This window comes from Homo sapiens, chromosome 8 (assembly GCF_000001405.40).
Source record: "Homo sapiens chromosome 8, GRCh38.p14 Primary Assembly".
NCBI classification, from domain to species: domain Eukaryota; kingdom Metazoa; phylum Chordata; class Mammalia; order Primates; family Hominidae; genus Homo; species Homo sapiens.
In genome coordinates, this window is record NC_000008.11 from 3,217,906 (window position 1) to 3,234,083 (window position 16,178).

The 16,178-nt window shown below is 38.0% G+C and overlaps 1 protein-coding gene across 5 annotated transcripts in view; it reads right to left on the reverse strand.

The window, feature by feature from the left end:
• CSMD1 (CUB and Sushi multiple domains 1) overlaps positions 1-16,178 on the reverse strand; it is a 2,059,554-nt gene that overhangs the window by 282,545 nt on the left and 1,760,831 nt on the right. For all 5 annotated transcript variants that reach the window (XM_011534752.3, NM_033225.6, XM_011534753.4 and 2 more), the window contains 3 exons: positions 12,135-12,326; positions 5,824-5,962; positions 1,350-1,537 (listed from right to left, as the gene is read on the reverse strand). In XM_011534752.3, the coding sequence (XP_011533054.1) occupies positions 1,350-1,537; positions 5,824-5,962; positions 12,135-12,326 (519 nt within the window). The remainder of the gene's footprint in view (positions 1-1,349; positions 1,538-5,823; positions 5,963-12,134; positions 12,327-16,178) is intronic.

A 16,178-nucleotide genomic window follows, 5' to 3' on the forward strand; every position in this document is an offset into this window, starting at 1 on the left:
TTTCATTTTTTAAAGAAAACCCTCCTAACTGTGAATTGATATTTTGTTAAGTCCTCTTCCCTAATTCTTTGTAATACACCTTGTATTTTATTTTGTTCACATGAGAAATAAATTTGAAAAAACATATATTTATTCTGATGGACCCAATAGCAAAATGTTGAGTTGAAGGTGGTTTTTCAGGTCAGTCTGTTTTCCTTGGATGTTAGTGGCAGGGAATGGTTTATAGCAAATCAAGGGTAAATCACTGATCTGATGATAAAAGAAAAGAGCTCTGAGCAGCGTCAGAAACCTTGCTAAACCAGCCATAGCTGACTGAGGCAGGGAAGGGTACAGATATGTTGACATGGAAAATGTTGAGATAAAATGAAGTTATTGGCCGGGCGCGGTGGCTCACGCCTGTAATCGCAGCACTTTGGGAGGCCGAGGTGGGAGGATCATGAGGTCAGGAGATCGAGATCATCCTGGCTAACACTGTGAAACCCCGTCTCTACTAAAAATACAAAAAATCAGCCGGGCGTGGTGGCAGCTGCCTGTAGTCCCAGCTACTCGGGAGGCTGAGGAAGGAGAATCGCTTGAACCCTGGAGGCAGAGGTTGCAGTGAGCTGAGATCACACTGCAGCACTCCAGCCTGCATGATAGAGCAAGACTCCATCTCAAAAATAAAAAAAAAAAGAAATTATTTTTGGCTGGGCACGGTGACTCACGTCTATAATCACAGCACTTTGGGAGGCCGAGGCAGGTGGATCACCTGAGGTCAGGAGATCGAGACCAGCCTGACCAATATGATGAAACCCAGTCTCTACTAAAAATACAAAAATTAGCCGTGTATGGTGGCATGCTCCTGTAATTCCAGCTACTCGGGGGGCTGAGACAGGAGAATCATTTGAACCCGGGAGGCGGAGGTTGCAGCGAGCTGACATCGTGCCATTGCCCTCCAGCCTGGGCAACAAGAGCAAAACTCTGTCTCAAGAAAAAAGAAAAAAAAAAGTTATTTTCATGTACTTACATTTAATCATCTTGAAGAAACAAATTATAAGGTGTTAAAACCCGTCTTAAAATAATTATTAAATGTCATCAAATTCTTTATTTTACAAACCACAATTTATTTTTATATGGCCATGAACTGGGACAGTTTTTTTCCCCTCTCTTTCTTCCTCCAGTTAAAGTAGAAATGCACCTCAGGAATATCTTCACTGGAGAGGGAGGAGACATGTATCTTCCCAGACAGAGGAGACACATATCAGCATTTATGTATTAAACAGACAAGCAAGATGTTACAAAGCAATGCCTACAATAAAAACAGTCCTGATACAAATTAATTCCCACTCAAATTCAGGCAATCGCAATACCTTTAAATTCAATGGCGAACCCTGAAAGGCCCACGGAGGCATCACTCCGAAATGCCAGAAACAGGCTGTTTCCGCTACTCTCTATTCTTTCTGGGGCCTGAGAGCCCTGGTAACTCCCAATGAGGGGGCTGTTGGAATCTTCCCCTTCATAGATGTGTAGGAAGTCATAGCTGGGCTCCATGTTGAAACTAAAGAAAAGAATAGTAATTATGTCATACGGCTAACAGATATTTTATCTCCCAGAGTGGTAAGCCTTTGAGCTCAGAAAGTGATTTTATTTGCTTTTGTATAATGATTTTTCAGTTAGGGCAATCAAAAAGTTAAATGTAGTATGAATCAAAATATTAATAAAATAGCAATAGTATAAAATACATCAATTGTGACAAATACTATTTGCCTAATTACCATCATGTTCAATACAATATTATTCTGACCACAGCCAAAAGGAAATAAGTCATAATAGCAGAGGTATGCTATCCTTTCCGTGTACTCATTAATTTGCTAAATGAGATGTAATTTAAAAGAACCAAGCTCAAAAGAGACACATTTCCACTGACCTTTTATCTTTATCTGAATATTTTTAGTTTTGAAAATACTGGAATTTTGAAAATATTGCAATTTCAAAATATTGGAATAGTCAGTAGAATTACTGACTATTCTTACTTTTATTTTTACTTAAAAAATGCAGTTCTCCCAGCCTAGGTAACATAATGAGATCCTGTCTGTACAAAAATACAAAAGTTAGTAGAGTGTGGTGGTGCACACTTGTAGTCCTAGCTACTCAGGAAGCTAAGGCTGGATGATCACTTGAGGCCAGGAGTCTGAGGCTGCAATGAGCTATGACCACACCACTGCACCCATGCACTCCACCCTGAGAGACAGAACAAGACCCTGTCAAAAAAAAAAAAAGACTCCACTTGCGTGGATAAATCAGCGAATATTAATAGCCCCTACAATGCCCAGAGTGTAACCTTTCTCACATCATGTTTCACCATCACTGAATATCCCAGTTTTTTTTCTCTGTCCCTCTCTTTCTTTCTCTCACTTTCTCCATTTTTCTGTTTCTCTCTGCTCTAATATTAACATACAGTCAGTCCCCAAAGAGTGTAACAATTTAAATTCAAAGGTGTCAAGGGCTGGGCTGTGTTTGCCATTGGTGATGTGTAGGCTGATAGAGTCTCTGAGCTTTAAAACTACGCACACTCTAAGAGAAAGGCTGAGCTTGGTTAAGATGTCTAAGATCTTGATATGACCAGAATAAACTGATAAAGTAGAAGTATTAAAACCATCCATTGCAGCAGAGCACAGTGGCTCTAGCCTGTAATCCCAGCACTTTGGGAGGCTGAGGCAGGCAGATCACGAGGTCAGGAGTTCGAGAACAGCCTGGCCAATATGGTGAAACCCTCTCTCTACTAAAAATACAAAAATTAGCAGAGCATGGTGTCGTGCACCTGTAGTCCCAGCTGCTCGGGAGGCTGAGGCAGAAGAATCGCTTGAACCCGGGAAGCGGAGGTTGCAGTGAGTCAAGATCACGCCACTGCACTCCAGCCTGGGTGACAGACAGAGCAAAACTCATCTCAAAAACCAATCAACCAACCAACCAAGCAACCAACCAATCCATCCATTGCAGCTGCCCCTTCCCTCTTCTTCTCTATAGCAGGTTTTTCATATGTGTCTTTAAAAAGCACTCAATTTACAAAGCTCCTACTCCCTTTCCTTTCCAACTGCAGAAATTTGGGACAACTGAGACAGAGAAGGTCAGGGTTTTTGCTTGTTGGTTTGTTTGTTTGTTTTGTAATCACTAAAATGTTCTAGGTGGCTCCACTTGATCTGGAGATTCGGATGATAAAATAGCAACAGAAGTTCCCTCCTGGAAAGGTCCACTGCACCATGAAGGGGAACAGAGAACGTGGTACCGCCAGCATCGGTGCAACGCCCAGCCTGCATTATGCCAACCTGTTTTGGGTCAAGGATACCCTCACTCCACATCCTGAATATACTTATTAAAGGAAATTTAGGAAGGTGTCTTAGTCTGTTTATTTGACAAGTTCACTGACGTCAGGAATGAAGAAGGAATAAAAGGTTGGAGTTACTAGGTATAGGCGCTAGCAGGAATGGTGTGGGTTACGTAGAATTTTATTGGAATAATAATTGTATTTAGAGTATTGGCAAGGATGTTATTAAAATCTGGTCATGTCATATCCCCAATATTTGGCTTAGTTAATTATCATTATTGGTAATTTATGCAATACTGCAAATACTGCCAGACACAGGAAAACAAACAAACAAACAAACAAACAAACAAACACTATATATCCCATCTGCTCTCTTTTTTTTTTGCCTGTACCAAAATTCATGCGTAGAAGTCTGGAGTGAAATTTATAACTAATTTTGGCTCCTTTGGAGAACTCCTTATTTCTACCTCTGCCAGCTGCACGTATCTCTAAGCTCTTACAGCATGCCAAAGCCTGACTCAAATTGAACCAAATTCAATTTGAGCCCCAATGTGTGAGCCCCACAATCCACAGGGACGTGTAATGGAACATCCTCTCTCATCCACAGCCCTGAACGAGCCTGGGAGCCCATATGTCCTTCAGGTCATATGATTCTTTGCCTTTACCATTAGTAATGCCAGACTCCCACCCTCCCATAAAAAAAACACACCTGAATTTGCCATCATCCTGACACTGCATCTTGGCCAGCCCTCATCAGCGCCAGCCTCCTGCTTGGGAAGCTGGACATCCTCATCCCCTAACAGGATTCTGGTCTCTCCCTCCTCACTACTTCCCAGGTAGATGTCTGCTTGAGCACATGCAAACTCCAGATCAGAGAAGTCACTGGTTTTCACTGATTTCTGAAGTTTCTGAGACATTGGGTCGGCTAATAAGTCATAATCTATGGGTTGGGAGAGGCTTAGAGATTATCTGTTTCAAACTTCCAGAGGGGTGTATAAAACGCAGTGAAAAAACCCTTGCACAAAACTGCCTTAAATATGCATATCATCAAATGAGTTGCACTTTATGGGAGGGAGGAAACTCCTACTAACAAGGTTTTGTGTTCAATTTCATTTTTTTTTTTAAAGCCAAGGTCTTGCTCTGTTGCTCAGCTCAGACTAGACACTCATAGCTCATTGCAGCCTCCACCTCCTGGGCTCCAACAGTCCTCCTGCCTCAGCCTCTCGAGTAGCTAGAACCAGAGGAATACACAAGCACACCAAGCCAATTTTTAAAATTTTTTGTAGTGATGGAGTCTTGCTGTGTTGCCCAGGCTGGTTTCAAACTTCTGAACTCAAGTGCTCCCCATCTTGGCCTCCTGAAATGCTGGGATTACAGTCATGAACCACCATGCCTGGCTTCAACTGTTAACCCATTTATAATATCTTGAAACCAGAGGTGCCTCCTAATTTTAAGGAAGACGCTACTAGAATTTAACATTAACAAAACCCACATAGATATCTAAAAAATATAGCCAGTGAGTGTTCACTGGTTTTCTGTAATAGCTGAGTAACATTTGGTAAATTTGTGGCAGTTTAGTAAATTCAGGAAAAGATGACTATCAACCAACTTAAGATTCAGAATCATAGAAACGTAAAATTCTACTGACTCAGATCTCATCAGGAGGAGAAAGTGAGGGTATGTAAACACATTCAGGCCTTGAATACTGACATAAAGATCTGCAGAAAAGGAAAGTCGTTCCATTGACAGATTAAAAAATGTAATCCCAGATACTTGTCCTTGGATAGCTGAAAGGTCAATAGGAAAGTCTACAGAATGACTCACCTTCATAAACAACACATTCATTTAGTTCAAAAGTCAAAGTCTAAAGTTAGAAAACATCTTTGGATTCAATAAATTGTAATTATCATATACCATATACTAATAATATAATTATTTAAAGAGTTTATTTTCATAAAATGACTACAGTATTAGACCTTCCATCGTCTAGTTTAGCAAGTACAAGTTAGCATATTTTTAGGACTGATATGTAGTAACTCAGACTTTACAGCAACCACATTTGGGGAAACTTTCATTTTCCAGGCTCTATTAAGTCTTAATTTTATAATGATATTAGCAGTGCTACCCTCAGGAACGTCAGGATGTGCTGTGGAAAGGAATTCACTATCAGGCATTTAGAGTGATAGGAGACATTGATGAGAAATTACACCAAATGTCTCCATACCATATTTTTATTATTTTTAACGAACATTCTGTTTAAGCCTTCTCATATGGGACACATTGTGTGCAAGACAAACAGTATTTAAAAATAATTCAAGTGCATCTTAAGTAGAATGCCCCAAAGCAAAATACTGTATTTCCATTTATGTCATTTTGCAGCCTGGTGTAGTCTCCATTAGACACAAAATCTAGCACTTACCTAGATATAACATTAGAGACTATGAGGTCATAAAAGAAGTAATTTTTAGGTATGGAATTAAAAATCCTACTAAAAAGAGGTATTCTGCAAGAGACGGTACCTTTTGAATATCAAGGCGATGACAAAGTCCGGGTTCACTTTTACTCTCCAGTCACATTCCTTCCCAGGAGGATACGGCTGTGGGTAGTTGGGTGACAAAATAACACCTGCTGGGCCCGTCAGATTCCCTCCACAAGCAGCTGTCACAGAACAAAAGTTACAGAGAAAAAGTAAGGACAGCGAAGAACGCCTGCCAGTCAGTGTGGAAGGAGACACCACAGAATTCTTTAAGAAAAAGACATCAGCATTTTTACCAGTCCAAGAGATTGTGTGTTGGTTATCAATTATCCTGATAAAATTGTAAGACCCAGGAACTCTGTACATTTTTCATGTAACTGTTAATGAATTTTACATAATATTCCACCCCATTTTCAAAGAGAATTTTCAAACTTCTGACACAAAAAATTTCTTTCCTATAATTTAAAATTTTCTCAATTAAATGAAAGATGACTTAATCCCCATACCTGCCAACGTGCACACATGTGCACAAACAGAAAAACACTTGAATAAAAAAAATCCCATGGACATGATTTTATGGCCATGTTAATTATTTTGCTATTTCTCACAGTTTATAAAATCATTGCCTATTTCTTCTTGAGTGCATGCTTCATGTGGTACAGGGATCATCTAGCTCCTGTTCATTGTTTTATCCCAAACGTCTAGGCGGTTTCTGGATCTGAACAAGTGTTCAGGAAATGGTTATTGGGTACATGAAAACATGGCATTTCACATTCTCCCAGTCCCCTGGTGTATGGAAGGCTTGAATTACTTTCCCCATATTTCAAAGTGGCAAAACAAACCCCAAAAGTTTAAGTGAGCTCTAAGTATACATATCAGTGAGGAGCTGAGCTGGAGCATTACTCTCTGAAAATATCATTTGATCACAATGCTTGGTATATTATTAGAAAGAACCACTTTATATGATAATAACAAATTTAGTTTGTGTTTGAAGTCATCAATTTTGAATTAAATGTGTTTACATTTATATTAGCAAGGCAGTAATTATGTAGCTCAATGTGGTTAATAGGCAAGCCAGTTTTTGTTCTTGAATTGGAAAGTATTTAGGATTGTTTTATTTGTGAGATAAGGTTTCTCCTAAACCTCTCATCTCACGGAAGGTGTGAAAACACTGCCGAATTTATAAGTATACACATTTTAGATACATACAAGACTATGCTGAGTTTAAAAGTTGTTTATATCAAATACTGTGGTTTGTCACCAAGTTGTTTTAAAGCGTGACTACAATTAAATCATAGTATTCCACTTAAATTATATGTCTTATTTCATTCCCATTATTGGTCACACATGCACTAAAAAATATGTAGAAAAGAAAATGTCTTAATTGCTGATTTTTCCCCTATACAAAAAGAGACTTTGTTTTGTAAATAAGATGAAGGAAGATGAAGGAACATGCTTCACAATTTTCAATAAGGAGTGCCTCTTTAAATACTTATTTAACATTTCTGAAAACTTAGCTTTTTATAGGAAGAAATAACAACTAACTCCAGTAGTTCTTGTTATACTCTCACAGTCTAACTGAATGCAAACTCTGAATGCTATTGTAGAAAACATTTATAATAATAAATTCCACAGATATACGTTCAAGAGTAATATGATATAATTTTTACAGAAAAAGATTAAAACTTGATTTTCCCCAGTATGACTTTTTTTTTTTTTAATGAATTTGAATTGTGCAGAAGCAATTGTCCCAACAGCTCTCACAGGGCAGTGCCTCCTCAGAATCACGCCGGGGCTGCTGACAGCATCGAGCAGTACAAGCGTGGACCGATCAGGGAGCGGGAGCTGATGCAGAGAAAGAAGGTACCTGAAGGTCTAGAAGATTCTACTGCACACAGGTTTTGTAAGATGAAAAATGACAGATTCAGGGCACTGGCTACAGGGTGCTACCAGCAGGAAGAGTTCAGGGATATGATTCAAATATTGATTTAAAAGAAACAAAGGGGAAACCCTGTCTTATTCACACTGATCCCAGGAGGCACTTTCAAATGAGGTGATTTAAAAGCTGAAAAAGTGGAATTAAGGAGTGCTGCCTGGCCCTGTTTGTTCTCTCTTTTGGTCTGGTATTCTTCAAGTTAGTTTGCTTAGGTTTTAATTAGCTTGCAAAATATTTTAGATAGGATTAGAATAGTAAAAAATGCAACTCAGAGATGCTAGCAAATTCTCCAGAAGGAATAGACAAAGAGATAAAATCCACCTATTCTTTTCGACCCACCAACCCTTTTACAAAACCTTTATCCACTATGCTCAACAGCACACATACATACGTAGCAGCTCCTTCACCACCAGGGTTTGAAGCTGGTCTTTAACGAGACCCATCTACGTTTCTGCATTAAAACATTTGAATGTTCACACCGTTGGGGGCGATAAATATTTTCTAAATAGACACCTTTATGTCAGGATGCTCTGTTGTCCCTAAATGAATTTCTGCAAACCTAGGATACATTTTGGCTTTTCAGAGTGTTTTGCAATTTGGACTTGGGGAAAAGCAATTGCAGGCTATATAAGATAATGAAGACTTTTTAGGGACACTTTACTCGGAATAAGGAAGTTGAAGCCGAACGTGGTGGCTCACGCTTGTAATCCCAGCACTTTGGGAGGCCAAGGTGGGCGGATCATCTGAGGGCAGGAGTTCGAGACCAGTCTGGCTAACATAGCAAAACCTAGTCTCTACTAAAAATACAAAAAATAGCCGGGCGTGGTGGCACGCACCTATAATCCTAGCTACTCAGGAGGCTGAGGCAGGAGAATCGCTTGAACCTGGGAGCGGAGGCTGCAGTGAGCTGAGATCACACCACTGCACTCCAGCTTATGTGACAGAGCAAGACTCTGTCTCAAAAAAAAAAAAAAAAAAAAGTCGTTAATGTCCTTTGGTCTACAGAATTCTCCTTCTAGACTAAGTCAAAAAGCTAAACAGAGGAGGCTTCATGGTAGAAGTCATTTCGGATGTAACAATAACAACAACAAAAAAGTGAGGTATCCAAGCAACACTCAAGAAAAAGCAACAGCAATGGCAGGTGTTGAAAATAAGTGTTGTCACACACAACAGGTGAGAGGTTAAGAGATTTTATAAAAGGGAAAGAAAGAGAGAGAGCCAGTAATGAGTAAATATACTCTAATAATAAAAAGTAAAAAAGTAAATTAGCTGATCAATCAGGAAAGAACAAATTCAAACAGCCAATAAGCATATGAAAAAAAAAAGTTCGACCTTATTATTAATTTAAAATGCCAATTAAAACAAGACATCATCACTTTGTGCCTTAAAATCTATAAAGTGTGGTGTTTTCTGTGAGTCAGAGAAAACATTAATAAATATATATGGCTGATGGCAGGTTAAATCGGTGTGACTGCTCTGAAAGAGATTTTAAAAATGGGCTGGACACGATGGCTCACACCTGCAATCCCAGCACTTTGGGAGTCTGAGGCAGGCAGATCATGAAGTCAGGAATTCGAGACCAGCCTGGCCAACATAGTGAAAACCCATCTCTACTAAAAATACAAAAAAATTAGCCGGGCTTGGTGGTGGGCGCCTGTAATCCCAGCTACTTGGGAGGCTGAGGCAGGAGAATCACTGGAACACGGAAGGAGGTTGCAGTGAGTCGAAATCATGCCCCTGCACTCCAGCCTCGGCAACTGAGTGAGACTCTACCTCAAAAACAAAACAAAACAAACACGTTTTAAAAGTCCGAGAAATATGCGAGTTTGTAGAAATATGTCACTTATTAATAATCCTGATTTATTTTGCAACATGAGTGCTCATTGAAGCTATCTTCAGAATAGGGAAAAGGTTAAAACAACTTAATTATACAATAATAAGGGACTAGAAAGATCAATATTGGTAGATTCAAACAAATAGATACTAGAGAGTGGCATCAGTGGTGTAGTTGTGCCTTCTAAAAAGATTTAGTCACTAAAAACGAGTAGAAAATACATAGTAACACAAAATATACACACCATGTACTGGTAAGTAAAAAGTGCAATTTACGAAACAGTCAAGCAGGATGTTGTCATTTTAAAACTTTTTTCTTTTTTTTTTTTTTGAGACAGAGTCTCACTCTGTTGCACAGGCTGGAGTGCAGTGGTGCGATCTTGGCTCACTGCAACTTCTAGCTCCTGGGTTCAAGTGATTCTCGTGCCTCAGCCTCCCAAGTAGCTGGGATCACAGGCATGCACCACCACCCCTGGCCAATGTTTGTATTTTTAGTAGAGATAGGGTTTCACCATGTTGCCCAGGCTGGTCTCAAACTCCTGATGTCAAGTGATCTGCCCGCCTTGGCCTCCTAAAGTGCTGGGATTACAGGTGTGAGCCACCACACCCAGACTAAAACATTTTAAAATGGATTACATATACATAATTATGAAATCATTTATAAATGTCTATATTAATTGTAATTGTCTCCAGGTAAAAAGATGACAACTTTTTTCTCCTCTTTGATTTAATTATAGTTTATAAAATGTCTTCAGTAAAATGTATTACCCTTTAATATGAAAAAAGGTAAAAAAATTAAAAAGTGTTTTGAATCTTTGAAACAGAATTTACATGAGTGCTAATTATAATTAACTCATGCCCTAATGGGCAAGCTTCTTACAGAGGACATAAACCTCATTCCTAAAAAACAGAAAATTACAAAGTAATAAAAATATAATGTTAACTTATTTCCAATTATATATTTTCCATTTTTCTGTTACATAACACCTACGCATGTAGGCGGGTCTGGTTGCCAAAATAATTGATTATTCATCTGCCTGCAAGTGATTTCAGCTTGTCCTTGAAGCTGACATTCAAGGTAGAGACAGGGGTATTTATTTACCTTTTGGTGCGTATTGGACTACCTAGTGGCTGGTCAAAATAAAGTAACTAAGAGATGATCTAACAGAAGATCGATTTGTTTATAGATTCATTAGGAGATGGCCAACTTTTATAATTACATGTTCAAATTAATATAAATTAATAAATTACTTTTAAGGGATTAACTCGTAGTTATATTGCTTTTTAATGTATTCCTCCACGAGCCTAAAAACATGCAAAATGGAAGGAAAAAAAAAAACCCTTTCCTACTGTAAAAGTAGGCCATTGGTTTAAAATGATCGCCACATTGATAGGCAATCACTCCACTTTAAAAAAGAAACACGCCGAAATCTCTGCAGTCTCCCGGTGACTCAGCTTGAGTAAAACGCGTGACTGTGCTCACAGACGCTATGAAAAGTAAACGCAGCACCAGACATTAAACACACATACATTGCTCCCCGACAAGGCTGAGAAGGCTGATAAGGACAGCTATCCAACCTCATCTGTCTTCAGACAACTGGGATAAGTGGTTTGTCATAAGTAGGAGCGCCGTATCACAGCTCCCCAAGACCACTGAGAATTTCACCACCGCTGTGTACACGACAATAAAAACCAGTTCAAACCACAAACCCCCTCAAGGTCATCCTATGCAAAATGGCCTATCCATTTCATGATCACTTTCTCTCTTCACACATCAATTAAATTTTACATTTTTCAGACAGATTATAAAGAAGTACTAATTAAACTGTGACAGTTACTTAAAATAATAAAGTTCAGTAGTTTCTTTTTAAGACTTAGATGATATACTCTAAGTACGAATTTTATTAGTAGAATATTTTATTGAATGAAGAGACAATCTACCTGCAATTACTATTTTACATAAAATATATATTAGCCTACAAACATATTTGTGATAAATTGTCTCAGGTGGCTATTCAAGCCAAAGTCTGCAAAATCATTTGTTATCCTTTTAATAAGGTCAAACTATAAAATGTCAATAAATTTCAGAAACAAACCTCCTTTTATCTTCATTTTAACACAAACAGTATAATTTCTAGTTTTCAGAATTCTATTTTAAATGTACTAATATCATAGGGGGAAAAACATCTAAAAAGAGAAAGTACTTTTAGTGAGTAGGTTTTGCTTAAGGGCATGTTTCTATATTAAAAATCAGAATAGCAATGGTAGGTTTATAAATTTTGAGGCAACTAGAATTTTAAATTACAGACATTTGATTGATCCATGTTTATGTAACATTTGTTAAGGGTAGGAAATATACGGTAAATGTCAATTACTGTACCTTAAGGGGATGACTTCCTTTATTCTACCTCATAAAATAAAGTTTAAAGGTTTACAATAAAATTTCAGGAGTCTCAGAGAGCCAGAGAACATGAAAGAAACTCTTGAGAAATATTTCTGAAGAAATAATACATTTACGGAGCGCTTTTAACGACAACATGCATCCATTCCTGAATATAAAATTTCTAAGTTCTGTTGTCTGATACCTATGCATGTAGGAGGGTCTGGTTGCCAAAAGAACCGGTTATTCAGCTGCACACAGGTGATTTTGGCTTGTCCTTGGAGCTGATAGCCAGGGTCACACTGGAATGTGACGGTGTCTCCAGCCTCTCTGCTGTCTCCATAGCGGGTGCCATTTTGGGGCATACCTGGATCGTTACAGGTGGCTGCAATTGAGGCTGCAAACAAAAGAGAAGGCAAGGTCACAGGCTGGAAAACATGGTTTCCACATTCTTGTCGGTGTGGTTGTTCTTGTGGGTTGAAGCACTCTTCATTGGCCTAATAAGTCATTTGTCTACACATGAACATACGAAAATAGTTTCTTTTCCCAGGGGTACATTCAATAACATACATCTTCATTGTGCTTGCATTGCATAAACTCTAGCAAGATTCTGTTGAAAATGCAACCAATGATGAAATATATCAAGGGTTTTTTTAAAACAAAAATTACATTATCCTTAGAATAAATACATACATACACACAGACTGATTTTCTCTTCAGCAATATTTTAATGAAACCCCATACTGCAAATTACATAAACTAGTTAAAGTACACCAACCTCAAGGAAAACAAAATAGGAAGAATTTCCTTAAGGTCTGTGCCTTCAAAGGTGATCCAATAACCTTTGTTGAGATGCCAAGGGTGGAAGGTCTAGAGGAGATGACCAGTGAGTTATACCCAGGATCCCATAGGTGACATTGCCACGGCAAAATTATTAATAACCCCCTTTCACTCACCCAAAAAATTCCAAGTTGGACAATATATTATATGGCCACCCTAATATTAACAAAAGCTCTGAAAATAATATCCTGCCTTTCTGCATATATATAAAGAATCTCAAATCTGCTGAGTAGAGGCCAGACTCTGCAAAGCCGGCTGGTGCCTGTGCTTTCAGGGGCCACTGGAGCCTTATCATATCAGTTTCTGGTAATCATGTGTAAAGTGCATTGCAAACGGCGAGCCTAAAATCACCTCCCATATGCAGCCATCGACTCTGCCTGCGCCTAATCACAGAAGGCTACCGCAAGCCCAGAGTTTTCACCAGAGTATCCCCCATCACTCTAAAATACAGCAGCCTCAAGAAATAGCAGTTGTTTTCTCCAGTTTCTATAACTGCTGTGTATTATGTGTCGCACTGAAAATTAGAAAGATAGGTACTCCTGAAAAATCCAAAGCTTAGATTTTTTCTCATTTTTACTTTCAGTTAGAATAACGAGCTCTTTCTTCCACTCCACTGCATAAGAGATGACAATTAAAAGCTGACTTTTTCTCTGCAAAGTACTTCACTGTTTTCAACACCAAGTTTTATGAAAGAGCAAAAAAAAAGAGATTAGTGTATTGTTCTATATACATACCATCACACTGTCCATTTTAATATTTGAAGCCTTAAAGTAATGAGTAGGCTTTGCGTTTTGTTTTGTAAATTCTGAAGCATTTGTGTGTGTGCGTGTGTGTGCATATACATATGTCTACATATGGATAGATAAATGGAATAATAAAATCCATTTAAATAAAAAGTTAGAAGATATATAAAAAAGAATAAGACCTGCTCTGTGTTATTCAGACATTTTTAACCTAATAGGGGTGGCAATGAACAAATAATTCAGGACAAGAGAAAATGTTAAACTGTGCAGATTAAAAGACCAAAGCTCTATCCAATAGTGTCATATGATACAGACATCAAGGATCCTATAGTTGGTCAGACCTGCTTCAAATCCCATCAGGACTTAATTAGTACCTAATTAGTACTTAATGATCACTTAAGCACACTTATCATCAGCTAACAAATCAGTAAAAATTAGACTAATATCTAAGTCATTAAGTCTGCTATGAAGATGAAGTGTGAAAATTTGCTAACTTGTCTTTCTCCTTGCTATTCTCTAAGCTAATTGAGGCAAGAAGCTGTCTTCACCACTCTCTTTCTCTCAAATTGATTGTTATTACATTGAAATATATACATGTGTGTATCTATAACACAATGAGAACAATGAAATGAACATCTGTGCTACCAACTCTAAGCAATAGAGTATTTACCAATACATCAGTATGATCAATGCGTAGAACATACCCTTCCCCATATCACCTTCTTCCTCCACTTCAGGGGAAGTCACTTTCTGAATTTTATGTTTATCATTCCCTTGCTTTTCTTCACAGTGACTATAAATGTATGCATTCCACTTTTAGCCACATATATCAGTTTCCTGAAATCAAATGCTTAACTGGAATTATATGTTGCAAGTTCTGTGACTCTCTCTGTCTTAAATGCTTAACTGGAATACATATTGCAAGTTCTGTGACTCTCTGTCTCTCTCCCCCTTGCTTGTATTATGTTTTTGGGAGTCATCTACATTTAGGCATGATGCTCTGGTCTACTCATTTTTATTGCTGTATAGTTTTCCATTGCAGGAATGCACCATGATTTTTCCATCCTCTTCTTGATGGATCTTTGGGTCATTTTTCTTTTTACCCTTATATAAAATGCTGCTGCGAAAACTCTTGTACATGCTGCTGGTACACATTTGCTCTTTCAAATGACATGGGCTGCTATGTTTTGGATTTTCACTTCCAAACAGCATGCAGTTAGATTGTCCTTTAAATTCAATCCCAGAATTGTCTTTTAATTGGATAGTTTAGTCTCCTTATGTGCCCTGAAGTTCCTGCTCTATTTGGATTTCTCTCGACCATCTTAGCTTGTGTTTTCTATGTGCACCCCCATATGCTCTACCTTTTTGCTTGCTTTCATACTAATTAATTTTTTCTCGTGCTTTTATTTTAGTAGACTTTCTAGAAATTTCAGTATGTATTTAGTTGTAATAGTCTTACCTTCTTCTTTAATATTTATTATTCTCTTCCTAATTACATGCATTGCTAGGTATTTCAGTTATTTAAAAAAAAAATCTTAAATTAGACATTGTCATTGTCCATTTGTTTTTATAAACCTCATACATTAAATATTATTGTTTGACATAGTTGACTGATGATTGTTTAAATTTTCATACATACTTATCAATTTGTTTGCTTATTATGTTTTCTTTTCATTTTTTTTTTCTGAGTTTTTATTTGGCCTAATTTTTCTACTTCATAAATACTATGGCTTGACTATTTGTCTCCTCAAAAACTTACGTTGAAATGTAATCAATATGGTCATATTGGGAGGTGAGGCCTTTAAGAGGTGATTGTATTAATCATTTGTAAATTAGTGGATTAACGGATTTATGGGCTATCACAGGAGGGGAATTGGTGACTTTATAGGAAGAGTGACCTGAGCTGGCATGCTCAGCCCCTCGCCAGGCGATGCCTGCACACGTTAGGACTCCAGAATCCCCACCAGCAAGAGGGCCAGATGTGGTCCCTCGACCTTGGACTTCTCAGCCAGCATATTTGTGAGAAGTATATTTATTTTCTTTATAAATTACCCAGTTTCAGATATTCTGTTATAAGCAGTAGAAAACAGACTAATACACTAAAATGGTTTGTTCGTTTTGTTTTGTTTGGTTGGTTTTTGCAAGTTATGTTTAGTAAGGACATGTGATGGCTTGGATTAGTTTCACATTTACTTGGCCGTTCATATAGTATTTGGTTTCCTATTCATATTTTTATTCTCTTTTTTTTCATGATTACAGTCTGAATCCGATAAGAATTCCAATTTCTCATGTAAACTAAGTTGTTTGTAAGTTTTCACATTTGTACTTCTGTTCTGGGGAACTTGACTTATGGTAATTCTTTGCATTCTGCTTTGAAGGTACACCCATCCAGAGGAGAGTCACATTAGATTACAGGATCTGCCTGGAACAACAGAAAACCTCCTTTTTTCAAAAATAAATTAACAGCTTGAGGCATTTTGGATCCCAGGGATGGTAGAAATTCACCTACAGACTAGTGTGAATCCCGCCGGCGGTTGTGAGTTGCATGCATCTATGTCTCTGTCAACATCGATGTCTGTGTATTCTCCCCACTCTGTGAGTAGAACACCCTTTGGTGTTCCAGCTATACATGAGGGTCTCCTATGATATTTTCAACCTCAGAAAGA